Genomic DNA, 15,831 nt, shown 5'->3' with positions numbered 1-15,831 from the left:
ATTTTTTTTTTTTTTTTTTTTTTTTTTTTTTTTGTTTCAGAGAGGGAGTCTCGCTCTTTCACCCAGGCCGGAGTGCAGTGGCGCTATCTCAGCTCACCGCAAGCCCCACCTCCTGGGTTCACGCCATTCTCCTGCCTCAGCCTCCCGAGTAGCTGGCACTACAGGCGCCCGCCACCGCGCTTGGCTGATTTTTTGTATTTTTAGTAGAGACGGGGTTTCACCATGTTAGCCAGGATGGTCTCCATCTCCTGACCTCGTGATCCACCCGCCTTGGCCTCCCAAAGTGCTGGGATTACAGGCGTGAGCCACCGCGCCCAGCCAGCATGTCTACATTTTTTAAAACTAAAGATGTGAATAGAAAAAAATTATCTGACACTGTTTTATAAATAGTTGAACTAAAATTCTTACAGAATTACACTTTCTTTCTAGTATTTGGCTTAAATCTCCCAGGTCAGTAGTAGCATATTTAAAAAATAAAACACAATAGTAGTATGAAGATTCAATGATTTTTCAATATGGCAAGATTTAAATTGATAACTCTTACCAGGTTCTTTTAGTGTCTCAGAATTTCCAGCTAATTCTTCGGTCTGCATTTCACATATTTCACCAGATAAATGGTTTTTCTGTTCTTCTTCTACCATTTTCTTTCTTAGATCTGCCTTTGGAATGAAAATTAAAAATACAAATCATTTTTCATTTTAACAGTATTTGTTATGTAAAGACAAGTTTAATTAAAGACAGCTAAATACCTCTGAATATATTGTCAGTTTCAGTGGTAAATCTTCAACTTTTACAAAATCTTCTTCATCAGACTTTTGACTTATATTACCAGATTCTGCTTCCTGTAATGTAATGAAAAAAAAAAATACATACTCTAGATCCAAACCAGTCATCCATGTAAAGAAATAGTGAATTATTTTCTCAGTAATTCTATCACATTTCGTTTTCTTCTACATTCAGCTCTATGAATAATTTAGAAATATGCAGTTCATAGGAAAAGCTACAATCACAGCTGTGAAACATACTGTCAAGCTGTTACCATTTTGTCACAAAAAAAAAAAAAAAAAAAGGCAGGGGGGCAGTTCATACATGCTGAAGAAATAGTTACAACCAGGACTAAAAACAGAAAGACAACTCTTGTTTTTTCATATGTTTACTGAACACGAGAGCTGTACCCAGCAGAATGTAAGTAACCACTTACAAACTTTTCAGTGTATCAACTCTGATGGGGCTGTTAGAAAGCTGAGGTATGAATTTAGTAACTGTCTTTTGTGATCACCTTAAACTGTTTTTCCTAAACTTGAATTCTATTTTTTTCCCTCCTAGTTCTCCCTTCTGATTTTTAATAGTATCATAATTCTACCAATTATCCAAGTAGAAATCTTAGGTTTTTCTTCTTCTTGCACTGTTTCTCACCCTGCTCCTGTTCAGCTTATATTTCATACTTATATAATAGTAGATCCCCCAATCTAGCTTGATAGTATATGCTATAGTCAGCAGATTAATCTTCACAGCCCATAAATTTGACCATTTCACTTCCTTGCACAAAAACATTCAGTAGGATCCCTGACTAAAATTCAAATTCAAGAGCTTTTATAATCTACCTTTGACTTAATTTCAATTAAATGTCTTCTATGGCAACTAGACAATGATCAGATAAGAATAAATCTAACCAGTAATTTTCGAAGTTTTAAATGTATAATTGTACTCGTAGTGAGGCAAACAAAAGAGTTAGAAGAGTTACTCTTTGTACTAACGTTTTTCAAAGATTATAAGCCCCCTTTCTAAGAAATTATGAATCATAACTGTAAATATATATTTAAGAAGAAATTTTAAGACACAGGGCCTCACTCTGTTGCCCAGACTGGAATGCAGCAGGGGCAATCATAGTTCACCATAGTCTAGAACTCCTGGGCTCAAGTGATCCTCCCGCCTCAGCCTCCTGAGTAGCTAGGACCACAGGCCTGCACTCTCACGCCTGGCTAATTTTTAATTTTTTGTAGAGACAGGGTCTTACTATGTTGCCCAGGTTGCTCTCAAACTCCTTTTAGTTCTATCCAACAAAAGCATTGATTGGAAATGACCCAAGTTAAGTTTCACTTATGTTTGCAATTCAAGGAAGATTAAGGCTGTTTTAAAGGCCTTTGTTTTATGGGGGTTTTGGTCAGGTATTTTCAGGCCTGATCTCCATTTTAATTTTGCTTTAACAATTCCCCCCTTTTGGCTGCCCTCTCAGCTTGAGGGTGGCCAAATGGAGTAGCATTATCCTGTAACCACTACTGACACAGAAGTTGGGATGAAAAGTCAGGTAAAGTTGTTATCATCAAAAGTTATGTTGGGATTCAGTCATGCACCCTCCATCAAGTTTACACAGTGTTAGCTTCCCTGATGGCAATCATCTGACGTGTGAGTGGCTGCTGGAAAGCATTTGAACCCCTTGTGGGGATATAAAGCACAAAGGAAGAAAACACAGTAACTGTAGCAAGAACTTAAAGATCCCTCTAAGCAAAGATTCCCAGGGGCCTAAAATTTAACCAACTGAATAAATCAATGGAGGAGGCCTTGCTTATCTGATAAAAAAAATTCTGATTTATTAAGATCTTTTAAATTTGGGGCAACAATATCTAATTAACATAAAAACAATACGTTTCACCCAAAGCTCATCCCTGTGAGCAGCTAAACTTCTACTGGAGTTCCAGTGAGACCAAATGACTCATCTCAGATTGTATTGCTTGAAGAGTATCGAAAGTATCATTAAAACTTTTTTTCAAGGGTTGCTGAAATATCCATAAGCCATTTTTCCAATTCAGAGACTGCCAGCTAAAGAAAAAGCGATCTTACCAAAGAACAAAATCTAGAACCCCTTCATATATTCGAGTTTGGGAGATCACAGGGAGTTCTTTTGTAAGGGATCACTTCATGTACAAACAACCCCAGATTAAGAATTTCACAACCATTTAAAGAGTCATATCTGGTCATTTTAGGTAGGAAATAGCCCAAACCACAGTGTCCAGACCATATAGGTGAAAACATTTATATATTTTGTTGCCATACAAGATGAATAATCCAGTATTACTGAGAGAAAGGGGCAAAGGAGATCCTATTACCCACCAATTGGGAATGATGTGATTGTCATGGTTATTCTCTGTCATATCTGCATCTGCACACTGCCAGGTAGAATGGTTATGATTTAAATAGAAAGAGGAATAAAAAAACACTTCTATGTATTACACATGGGTACCATCGCCAAATAAGGATGACTTGTTTCCTTTTCAAATATGCCCTGAATACTGATCTTAAAAACCCTATTGTATACAGTGAAACTACAGGGGTATTCCATTTGCCTCTAGAGTTTCCTTTGAACCAATGTCAGTTTCAGTCCGTTCTCTACTAATATAGTCAAGGGTATCATGGTGAAGTTCTGATTTTAAATATGTGTCATTATATAGGAGAGCAGTCTCCCTAATTGGTGTTAAATCATAAAGTCTGACTGCATATAGGGAGACTGGAACCCTGGCTAGATTAGGCCCAGTTCCATTAAGGTTTTCTGTCCATAGTGATAAAATTACCAGCAATAAAATCAATAGTAGTTACAGGACATACCTTTGCTTCTGTAACTTCTTCCCAGTGCGAAGTCAGTCAACCATAAATATCAACCAACCTGCTAGGGGAAGGATACCAAACCTTTTCATAAAACCAATTGCTCACCCAAGTGTGTGTGGGAGTAGATTTCGGTATTAGTTGTGATTCCATTCATCTATATGACTACATGGCCAGCAATTGCTTTGGTTGAGTGAGAGTGGCTATTCTTTGAACATCAGACCTTAGAGGATATTCTGTTTGAGTAGGAAAAGTTCCCAACAAAAGTTTGAACATTTTGTGTTAATGCAAAACCAAATCAAAACTTAATGAGAAAAGTTTTAAATGTAGTCGTTTCATTGTGGTGGTAAGTTGTTTACTTCACGATGCCACCTGCTCCTAGGGAAAGGCTTTCCCTTTTATATCTTTAAGTCACCTATAGGTTGTCAAGTCCAAGAGTCTAAGGAAGCTCTCTCTACTTGAGATAGATGGACCCAAGGCTGAAAACCCTGAAGTTTTGCTGCATTGTGAGTAGTAAGAGCTGTCTGCTACAGTCCTTTCCAATGAGGCTCAAGGGCAATTTTTCTCTGCTGTTGTTTCCAAAAGATCCAATCTCCACGTTCTAAGTTATGGAAGCCAGTCATAGATCATCACTGGTAGGCAGTTCACAAAAAGCCTCCTTCAGCTGGTAGAAATAGACTTTTGCATAATCCATTAAGGTCTTAGAGTATTGAGTCATTTCAGAGCTAACAAATACAGGTGATACATGGGGTTCTGGTATTAAAGGCATAGGTCTTCCAGTTATTTCATAAGGGGTCAAATTTGTGTTTTTCTGTAGGGGTTGATGTAATTGCCATTAGGGCTAGTGGTAAAATTTTTGGCCAAGGTAATCCAGCTGACAATTTAGCTAATTTTAGTTTCAAGATACAATTTGTCCATTCAAGCTTTCCAGAAGACCGAGGATGACAAGGCCAATGGTAGTGCCACCGAGTTTGAAAATCCTGTTTATCTGATAACCTGTTCAGGAAAATGAGTTCCCTTATTACTGGAGATCTCTCCAGAAAAGCCCCATAAAGGAAATACATTTCCTAAGAATTTTTTGCTACTGTTGTGGCATCAGCCTTTCTATAAGGGTAAGTCCCAATCTATCTTGCAAACAGGTACACTACCGCAAGAATGTACTGATACCTCAATGAGGGTGGCAACTGAATGAAATCCATCTGCAGACCTACATATGGTCTAGCAGGTGGCAGAAATCTTAAGGGTCTTTCCAGCTTTATGAGTTTGACAAGCCACACTGCTGTAAGCCATTTCTGCTTTCATAATCTTTTTCATAATCTGAAACGTTTTTCTTCACCATGATGGTTTGTAGAGTGCAGGGCCTTTAATAATAATGACAGTTTGAAGGACTCAGGAAGGACCAGCTGGCTGTCTGGGCCTTCACTGAGTCCTTGTTGAGCATGAAATTTGCAACCTTTAAGATTCCATTTTTGTTGTTTCAACTCAAGTGCACAGCATTGTTTACTGAACAAATTATCCTGAGTGATTTGATCTTGGTCAATTCTGTGGAGTTCATTCAAAATGCATATTTTGTCAATTTCAGACTTGGCCATAAAAGTCCACACATGCATTTCCTTGATACTCAGGTTCAGTCCTACGAGCATGAGCATCATTTTTATTAAGAGCTACTTGTGAGGGCAGCAGAATAGCTGAAAGAAGCTCATCTGGCAGAGGTCCAGTACTGATGGGGGTTCCACTACAAGTGAGAAACCCTTTGTTTCCACAACATTCCAAAATCATCACTCACTCCAAAGGCATACCTATTATCTGTATAAATGGAAAATGATTGGCATTTTGCTATATGGTTAAGTCTTAGATCACGTAATTCTTCGGGTTGTCCTGACTTAAACTGAGAAAGAATTCCCTTTTCTATTAGTTCATACTGAGTTGTTACAGCATGTCTTGCTCAGTATTTCTTCTCTACAGTTTTTTCATAGGATCCATCAATAAAATGTATTTATTCAGAATTATTTAATGAAGTTTTCCATAAGTCAATGTGAGGAGTCAATAGTTATGATACCACACACACAGTTTTGGTCTTCCTATTGTTCAGACAGAGGCAGCAAAGTGGTAGGGTTAAGCAGACTGACATCTGAGATAGAGATTAGAAGGTGACAGGAGAAGGATATCATAAAATGTTAGTCTACTTATTAAGACATGTTGGATCTGACTGGAAGGTAATGAGCTTTCAACTGCACGTGTAACTTGTAGGTAACATTTATTCCCTAATACTAGGTCAGATAAAGTTCCTATCAATTTAGCTGCTGCTGTCACTGCTTTTAGATGGTTTGGATATGCTCTGACAACTCGATTTAACTGTAACGTATAATAAGCAATGGGTCAGTAGCTTCCTCCACGTTTCTGAGTAAGGACTCCTAAGGATGGATTATCATATTTGATAATCCCAAAGTGAAAGGTTTTAAATAACTTGGGTATCCTGAACCTGAAGGGGTTATAAGGCCAGGTTTATTTTATTGAAAGCTTGTTCCTAATTATCTTCCCATGGCAAAGCTCTGGGACAGAGATTTTTCTAAATTCAGGCAAGGGGGAAGCCAGCAGAGAAATGTGGGACTCAAGATCTGCAGTATCCCATAAGACCAATGAACTCCCTTAACTGCCTTAGTTGTGGGCCTAGGGAACCCTTGGATTGTTTTTATTATTTCAGTTAAGAGGAAAATTCTCTCTGCAGTCAGATCACATCCTATGTAATGGACCTTTACTCTACAGCAGGGATCTGCAACCCCCAGTACCAGTCCAGGGCCTGTTAAGAACCAGGCCAAATAGCAGGAGGTGAGTGGTGGGGGGAGCCAGCGAGCCAAGCTTCACCTTTATTTAAACCTACTCCCATCACTCACATTCTCACCTGAGCTCTGCCTCCTGTCAGATCACTGGCGGCAACAGATTCTTGTAGGAGCTTGAACCCTATTGTGAACTGCTCATGCCAGAGATCTAGGTTGCGTGCTCCTTATGAGACTCTAATGCCTGATGCTGTGTCATTATCTCTCATCATCCCCAGATATGACCATCTAGTTTCAGGAAGACAAGCTCAGGTCTCCCACTGATTCTGCATTGTGGTGAGTTGTATACCAATTTCATTATATAACGTAATAATAATAGAAATAAAATATACAAAAATGTAATGCATTTCAATCATCCTGAAACCATCCCCCTTACCCCAGTCCATGGAAAAATTGTCTTCCATGAAACCAGTCCCTGGTGCCAAAAAGGCTGAGGACAGCCGCTCTACAGAACTAAAGTTTTGCCATTGAGGCCTTATGTCCATTGTAAGCTAAAAGTATGAAAGATTATCTACATATAGACAGAATACAATTTCTATGGAATTGTAAGGTTGACAGGTCTTGGTATAATGTCTGAGAAAAACAAGATAGAGCTTCAGCGAACCCCTGTGGCACTACAGTCCAAGTATATTGCTGGTTCTTCCAGGTATAAGCAGAGAACTACTGGCTTACTGGAATACTGAAAAAGGCAGAGGAAAGAAAGATTACACTGTGAACCATTTAGAATCTGTAGGCACATTAGATAACAAAGTGTTAGGATTTGGAATAGCAGGAAATCTTGGATTGACAATTTATTGTATGTTTAAGTCTTGAACAAATCTCCAACTTTGTTATATATTATATGTTATATATTTATATATATATATGTGTATGTATATGTGTGTGTATATATATATATATATATATATATATACACACACACACACATATATATATATACATATTTTTTTTTTTTTGAGACGGAATCTGGCTCTGTGGCCAGGCTGGAGTGCAGTGGCACGATCTCAGCTCACTGCAACCTCCACCTCCCGGGTTCAAGCGATTCTCCTGCCTCAGTCTCCTGAGTAGCTAGGACTACAGGTGTACATCAGCACTCCCAGCTAATTTTTATATTTTCAGTAGAGATGGGGTTTCACCATATTGGCCAGGATGGTCTCAATCTCTTGACCTCCTGATCCGCCCGCCTCGGCCTCCCAAAGTGCTGGGATTAAAGGTGTGATGGATTTCTTAACTGTAGGATTATAGTATTATAGAGACAAGTACAAGGAATTGTTTTATTAAATCCTCTATAACTGGGTAAAGCCCTTGGATTGCCTCTGACCCTAGGGGGCATGAGGGCAATTTAGGCAATGGCTTGGAATAATGTATTTGTATTTTTATAGGCTTACCACTTTTAATCTTCCCTTTGTCAGTTGAGAAACAAGCCCACAAACATCTGGGTACTTCAGAAAGGTCTAGGTTGGTATAAGAGTGAGTTTCAATATGATCAATTCCTGCTTGTAGGAAACAGAGCAGTTCAGGTTTAGAAGGGTCAGGAAGCTCTAAAATTAACTTTCCTTCCAGAGAGAACTTTAAGTGCCCTCTCAATTTAGTGTCATATTGTAGGAAGGCATGCTTTTCTGAGATTAGTCCAACTGTCATTTAGACTGGTTCACAGAGGATTCTCTGAACTTGATTGGAAACGTGAAATATTTTCTTTCCTCCAAGGGACTGGCTGATTTATTAGCATGGGGTTGAAAGTGGATAAGGTATCCACCAACACTGTACGTGACTCCCACTGATGCTGATCTTAGTTTCCTCCCCATGTTTGTTTAAGGGCCTTATGGAGAGTAACATACCAGAGAATCCCTTGATGTCCCATTGGTGTTGATTATTGTCTTCAGAGTCAAACCCTTGGGAACTTTTTTTTTTTGAGATGGAGTTTTGCTCTTGTTGCCCAGGCTGGAGTGCAATGGCACCATTTTGGCTCACGACAACCTCCACCCACTGGGTTCAAACGATTCTCCTGCCTCAGCCTCCTGTGTAGCTGGGTTTACAGGCATGTGTCACCACGCCTGGCTAATTTTGTATTTTTAATAGAGACAGGGTTTATTCATGCTGGTCAGGCTGGTCTTGAACTCCCGACCTCAGGTGATCTGCCTGCCTTGGCCTCCCAAAGGGCTGGGATTACAGGCATGAACCACCATGCCTGGCCCAGCCTTGGGAACTTCATCTAATGAGGAAATAGTCTGGCCCAACACAGGTAGGTCCATTAGAGGACTGGTCAAGCGTGGAGACTCTTTTCTTCAATGGCCTCTTTACAGAAACTGATTTTTTTCTAGTTCTAATGTTCTCTCAAAATGTTCAGCTATGGTGACTAATATAGCCATATCAGTGACTTGCCATCCAATCTTGTGTTTTTTAATCAAGTCACCAGACTCTAGTCAGAGACTATTAATGAATAAAACCATAAAAACCATTTCAGTTCCCGCAGGAAATACTCCCTGCTGTATTTTAAGACCAGAATGTTTAACAAATGAGATTTCCAATTTAGCCGTGTAATCAGAAATAGATTCAACTTTTTGGACTAGTCAATCTTTTGTGGAAAGACCATGGGGATAGCTTCTAGATGTTTTCCAGTTGTTTTTGTAGCATCTTTTGGGCTATCCACAGAAGTAGCTCTTAAAGGGTTGGCAATACTCTTCTGAGGCTTATGCCATCCTGCCGTAGTCATCCATTAACATGCTTCCCCAGTGGCTAATATCATGCGTAGAAACTGACAGAAATCAGGAAGCCCAGGGTCATTCTAAATCTACATTCCTCAGCAAACTGTTTTGGATTTTCCTTGGGATTTGGAAAATCTTTTGCTATGGCTCTGAGTTCAGCTTTTGACCCAGAAGTAAAAGTACTTACAGGAGCCAGACCTCGGTGTCCTGGCTGAGGGTCTAACTAAGCAAAGCATTAGCCTAACTTCCTTTCTGTCACATCGTCCAGAGTGAAAGGGTAATTGTGCAAAAGGATTAAGATGACTGAACAAATGGGTTAGTGGACTCAGAATAATTAGAGGAGGATAAGCAGAGTAACAGGTCAGAGTGAAATCACTCCCTACATACAATTCATTTTATTTTGGTTGTCAATTCACTGCTTAAGCTTTTCATCTGTCTTATTTGCCTTTAGCAAGGAATCTTTTAGCAAGGCAATTTTGGAATTATGTCTTTTAGAAGCCTGTATACAACAATCAAAAACTGCTTCCCATTGTTTCTAAGGCATTTAGGATCCCTTCTTTTCTAATGTCCCCATAAACAATTTTATCTAGATTAAAACTTCTCCACTGTAACTTTAACTCTTCTCTTCTCTGGTAAAGTGTAACCATTTCTCCAGAAAGGCATAGTTAAAGGCATAGTTTCATGTTCCTAATTTCTAAACATAAAATTTGCTAGAGTTCTAGAAAGAGGGGTCCCAGAGTCTTTAGGTGTTAATGAACCCATAATACCCTATCTTTCTAAACCTCACCTACCTGAGGCTGCCAACTGGACCCAGTCTAGTTACTGTCAAACATCTAGTTCGACCTCTGGATCCAGTAAAAAATAAAATTACCCAGCTGGGTGCGGTGGCTCACGCCTGTAATCCCAGCACTTTGGGAGGCTGAGGCAGGCGGATTACAATGTCAGGAGATCGAGATCATTCTGGCTAACACGGTGAAACCCTGTCTCTACTAAAAATACAAAAAATTAGCCGGGTGTGGTGACACACGTCTGTAATCCCAGCTACTCGGGAGGCTGAGGCAGGAGAATCACCTGAACCCAGGAGGCAGAGGTTGCAGTGAGCCGAGATCGCGCCACTGCACTCCAGCCTGGATGACAGAGCGAGACTCAGTCTCAAAATAAAATTACTCAGATAAACTCAGAGAGCTCAGGACACAAACTGTGGAGCCTGAAATCCGAGAGGGACTTACCCAGGACCTCCAGATGCAGCGAGAAAGCAGTGAGCACAATGGACACCTTTTGCCTGGTTCCTCGATGCTTCCAGAGGCCACAGGGGGTCTCTTTCAAATCCTACTCTGACACCAAACTGTAAAAGACAAATCTGAGACACAATAAAATTTTACAGTTTATTTGAGTAAGAAGCAATTCAGGAAGTGGGAACACCAGACCAAAAGAGATTTAGTGTTCCACTGACAAAATATCAGAGGCAAGTATTTATTTGGAAAATGTGGAAGTAAAATAAATTATTTGCTTGGTTTGCAATTACAAAATTGTCTTTTATCAAGTACCTTCTCAGAAAGTCCCTAGTCACATATCCATATGTTAGGGGGCTACTTATGACAGGCTGGGGTTAAGCTTTGGTTCTAACAGAAGCATTTATCAGAAATGACCCAAGTGAAGTTTCATTTATGTTTGCAGCTTAAGCAAGATTAATTACTTTAAAGGTTTTTGCTTTCCTCTGCTCAAGTATTTTTCAGACCTGGGCTTCACTTGAATTTTCATTTAGTAAGTACTATCATGAGTACAGATTTCCTAGTTTTTTTTTTTTTTATCATTCACTGTATAAAGATTCTGTTGTCAAACTGTTTTATTTCCTATCCCAAGTGTAAACCTTTAAGTTTATTGAAAATTTGCAATATATTCTAAACAGTTGAGAAGAATAGGTAGTATAAAGGATAAAGGAGGATTCATGCATCATTACCACTTCAGAGCCGAACTTAAGATGAAATCTTTTTATCCCTTTGGTTCTCAAAATTATAAAACAGCATGTGGGTTTTGAGATGGTCATCTTAATTCACTATTACCCTTCTGCTAAAGTTAAAGTGTGAATTAGAAAAATGTTCCAACATGTTCTAAACCTAAACACAAAATGGTTTACATGTGGAGAATGCTAATCTGAAAATGAAGAAATATGCACAGAAATGAAAAGTAAAAATATTTGGAAATGTAAATGATACATACATAGTCATTCACTAACACTGGAGATTCAGTATCAGGACTTCCAGCCAGAGAGCTTTCAGGAGTTTCCTGAGCAGATTTAACTTCTTTGACTCTAGGCACTAAGGGTTCCATTTCAGGTAAACGTAACGGCAAAGGGTTAGGCTGTTGAGTTGAATCAACAGTAGGAGGTGACTCCTTATGGGCAGCACTATTTAAAGGTTGCTCATCTTCCAAGATATTGAGGTAACAGGGTTTCACAGGACAGTTATTTTGGTCATCTGTCATCAAAAGAAAGTCTTAACATTAGTGTAATGCAAAAAATGTTAAATTTTACTATTATACTAATAAAGACAATACGCCTGAATAAGAGCAATCAAGATATTTAAGACCAAAAAGAAAAGGCAACTACAAATTTTCCTTATCAATGGTTCCCAAATTTAGTTGATCAAAATCACCTGGGAGCATTTTAAGACTCAGATTCCTGAAATCCACCTGATTTCTAAAAAATTAGGACTTTCAGTAATAAGGCCTACAAATAGATTTTTTTTTTAAATCTACCATTATTTGTATCTAAAGATGCGATGCTCTTGACAGAATTTTTGTCTGTGCAGGTAAATATTTGTCACCTTTTCTTTATTGTTTATAGAAACAAATTCTTATGTTTTCTACAAAGGATTTATAGGGAGAAGAAAAACATACATCAGGTCCAAAGTACTTTCAAACTAAGAATTTTAGTGTTTTCTGTGTGTGTTTTTTTTTTTTTTTTAGCTTTAAAGCAAATAAAGGAAATTATCTTAAAATCAAAGACTTATTTAGATTTCTTACTTTTACTAGTGGCTTCTCGTTCCAATGGGACATTTTTGCTTTCTGCTGTCTTTTTAAAGTCACGTTGTAGGACCTAGAAGGGAAAAATGTTTTAATAGCAGGGCCTGAAATATATGGTCACTATAAAAGAGATGATTACTAGTGTGTAGTTTTTGTCCAACCCAAGACCTTCATACAAAGAAATTTAAAAGTATCTTCTAAAACTATTTCAAGGAGGCGGCTTTGGTTGTGATTTCAAGATGGCTAAGTTAAAGGGTTTCCTTGTTGCCTTAAAAACACACACACACAGTATAATACAACTGGAACGAACAGACTGCACTGTTCATTTTTTTTCAGACTCTAAAAGACACTTAATGCAGACAAGAAGGGAATGAAGGAGGAAGTGACGAGAGGAAGATGAACAAAGCTAAATGCCTTCAGCAGGGAGAGGAAACAAAAACTGAGATTCACCTCATAACTGTAAGTAACAGATCTAGAAAGGAAGACATGATGATGTTGGGGCAGGAGCTGGAGATGAAACGGTGGTGGTAGTTGTTTAAAACTGTTTAAGGAAAATGTGCCTACGTAGGTTCTCTCCTCCCACCTCAACAGAAAATGGCAGATTATATTTTAGAGAAATTAAACTAGTGAGCCCCAAACCTGGGGCCACTGGGAGTAGAGGTGGAGACACAAATGACACAGTAAAGTATCAGACTGGTGTAGAAGTAATTGTGGGTTTTGCTATTGAAAATGACCAAAACCACAATTACTTTTGCACCAACCTAAATAGAATACTGAAAACAGAATAATCTAGTGCATGCCTGTATAACGGTGGGACCTCAGCCCCATTCCCAATCTAGCTTCAGAATATCAGCAGCCAAGCTCATACACTCCAGGCAGGACGACAGTGAAGGACCCTAATTTGAAGAATCTAAACCATCTCAAAGAAAAGACCAATAGATACTAACATTTAGAAGTTTGTAGGAATATGCTGGCTGTCTCCCCAAATGCCCTACCTGCAGTGAAGCCCAAAAGAACCTTAACTTGCTTTTTGATATATCACTGTTCAATATAAAGAACCAAGGTTCAGCAGACATTTGAAAACGGAAGGTAATGCTTCTGTGAAATAACAGGGCACTATTAAAAAGTAACAATCAGAAAAAAAGAAAGTGTTCAGAAGTTAAAAATATGACAGCTGAAATAAAAATAATTTCATACAAGTGTTAAAGTCAAAGAAAATCTCTCAAAGTAAAACCAAAAGATAAGGAAAAGAGGAGAAAATCAGAAGATCAATCCATGAGTACTAATAATATCTGATAATTACAGAAGGAGAGAAAAGAGAAAATGGTGTGGCAGTAATAAAGAGAATTTAAAAATTTACCAACTTGAAAACAATCACTGAGTATCCACTGCAAATAATGAAAAAAGACCCCAACAAGGCACATCACAGTAAAATATCCAACTCCAGAAGAAAAGATCTAGACCAGGGAGGAAAATAACATATAAAAAAGCACCGCCTCATCCATAGAGTGTATGTTCCAAAACTGTGGATAGCACCAAACCCCATTTATACTGTTTTTCCCCTACACACTTATCTATGATAAAGTTTAATTTATAAATGGAGCACAGTGAGAGATTAACAATAACTAATAATAGAATAATTAATTCTCTTGTGCTTTGGGGCCATTAAGTCAAATAAGGGTTGTTTGAACACTGTTATACTGCAAGTCTATCTGCTACCCTAGATGGCTATTAAGTGATTAACAAGCAGGTAGTGTATACAGTGTAGACATGCCGGACAATGGAATGATTCACAACCCAAATAGGAAGGAGAGGGCCGGTGTGAAATTTAATCACACCACTAAAAACAGTGTATAATTTAAAACGTATAAATTATTGGATGGGTGTGGTGGCTCATGTCTGTAATCCCAGAACTTTGGGAGGCTGAGGTGGGAGGATCGCTTGAGCTCAGGAGTTTGAGGCTATGAGCAATGAGCTACAATTACACCACTGCACTCCAGCCCAGAAGACTGAGCAAGACCCTGTCTCTAAAAAACAATCATAAAAAATAAACTGGTTTTTCAGATTTTAATAAGCATATTAATGAGGCTTGCATTCATGAAACCTGAATATTTAGAAGGATCTACTTTGATTAGTTAAAATAAGGCTGATGGAAGTTTGATTAGTTAAAATAAGGCTGATGGAAGTGTGTCAGTCAATACGGGAATACCTGTTCATCATGTTCATTTTCTTCAGTAGCTTCAGTGTTAGCCTGGAGGGAAGTCTGGACATCCACAGGGCCTTCTTCAAATTCTTCCATTTCTTCATCCTCATTTTCATCTTCTCCACTTCCATAATTAGTTAAAGCCTGAGTTTCAGCTTTAGACAAATCTAAGTTGATTAATACACAATTTTTAGTAAATTTCAGCACATAATCTTAACAATAGCTACCACTTACTGCATTCCTGCATGGCACAGATGCTTTATATACAGTATCTGAAATCCTCAAACAGAATGTATTAAAAACTTACAGTGCAGAAAGTCTAGATAATTTAGTCAGGGTCACAGTGAAATTCAAAATCAGAGTTCTTTGACACTTAATTTTATACTTGTTACACTCCACCAAACTGTTCCAATAAATGACCTACAAAAAACTAAAGTATAAAGATAGTACAGAGCCTTTAAACTTACTAATAGACACTGGACATCCTTCACTTTCTTCATCTTCCTCTTGATCAGAAATATCAGATCTTACATTTTTGGGACCATCATACACCTCAGATGTTTGAGTCTGCTTAACTGTTTCAGTTTCATCCTTGTCCTAGACACAAAAATATTTGAGTAATTAATTCCTTAAAGTACATGTGTAAAAGGTATATAGTAAGTCTATCGTATTAATAATGATCATTATCTAATAAAAAATACAAAGAACCATTTTTGATAGTCTAGTTTTATTTTTAAAATAAAAAAGTGTCAGGAAAAAGGTCATTTGATGATACAGTCTGCTTTCAAACATTAAGGTGAAAGCTGTTAAAATAATTTTATATTGTTTCAAAAGCATTATTTGTAGGCTTTTTATTTTTTTGAGGCACAGTCTAGCTCTGTTGCCCAGGCTGGAATGCAGTGGCATGATCTCGGCTCAATACCACCTCTGCCTCCCAGGTTCTAGCAATTCTCCTGTCTCAGCCTCCTGAATAGCTGGGACTATAGGCACACGCCTGGCTAATTTTTGTATTTTTAGTATGGACGGGGTTTCACCATGTTGGCCAGGCTGGTCTGGAAATCTTGACCTCGTGATCCACCCGCCTTGGCCTCCCAAAGGGCTGCGATTACGGGGGTGAGCCACCGCGCCCAGCCATATTTTTAGGCAAAAATTAATTAGCACATACTTTGTCTTCATCATCAATCTCTCCAGCAGGTGAGCCATGATCTTCAAGAATCCTTTTAGCCTTTAAAACAAATCAATTACACAGAATTTAGCAACATACTTAGATACATAATTTAGCATTTCTCATGTCTCAGCCTCCCAAAGTACTGGGATTATAGACCTAAGCCTGGCCTGTATTACTTTCTAATCATTTATTATAGTATCATGCTGTTTTATTTTCATCAAGCTCTTAGCAACGTCTGAAATTTATTTATATCCAGAAAATAAATATCATGAAAAGTGTGAAATGGACAGCCTG

The 15,831-nt window shown here is 38.3% G+C and overlaps 1 protein-coding gene across 25 annotated transcripts in view; it reads right to left on the bottom strand.

Moving 5' to 3' along the window:
* PCM1 (pericentriolar material 1) overlaps nt 1-15,831 on the bottom strand; it is a 106,961-nt gene that overhangs the window by 3,746 nt on the left and 87,384 nt on the right. For 22 of the 25 annotated variants that reach the window (NM_001352633.2, NM_001352650.2, NM_001352635.2 and 19 more), the window contains 7 exons: nt 15,535-15,594; nt 14,837-14,966; nt 14,376-14,536; nt 12,167-12,239; nt 11,363-11,619; nt 750-842; nt 545-659 (listed from right to left, as the gene is read on the bottom strand). In NM_001352633.2, the coding sequence (NP_001339562.2) occupies nt 545-659; nt 750-842; nt 11,363-11,619; nt 12,167-12,239; nt 14,376-14,536; nt 14,837-14,966; nt 15,535-15,594 (889 nt within the window). Of the gene's footprint in view, nt 1-544; nt 660-749; nt 843-10,371; nt 10,503-11,362; nt 11,620-12,166; nt 12,240-14,375; nt 14,537-14,836; nt 14,967-15,534; nt 15,595-15,831 lie in introns of all 25 variants that reach the window. The other 3 variants (NM_001352642.2, NM_001315508.2, NR_148032.2) reach the window with 2 other exon arrangements.

Source organism: Homo sapiens, chromosome 8, assembly GCF_000001405.40.
Source record: "Homo sapiens chromosome 8, GRCh38.p14 Primary Assembly".
NCBI classification, from domain to species: Eukaryota; Metazoa; Chordata; class Mammalia; order Primates; family Hominidae; genus Homo; species Homo sapiens.
This window is presented reverse-complemented; position numbering and strand designations above follow the sequence as displayed.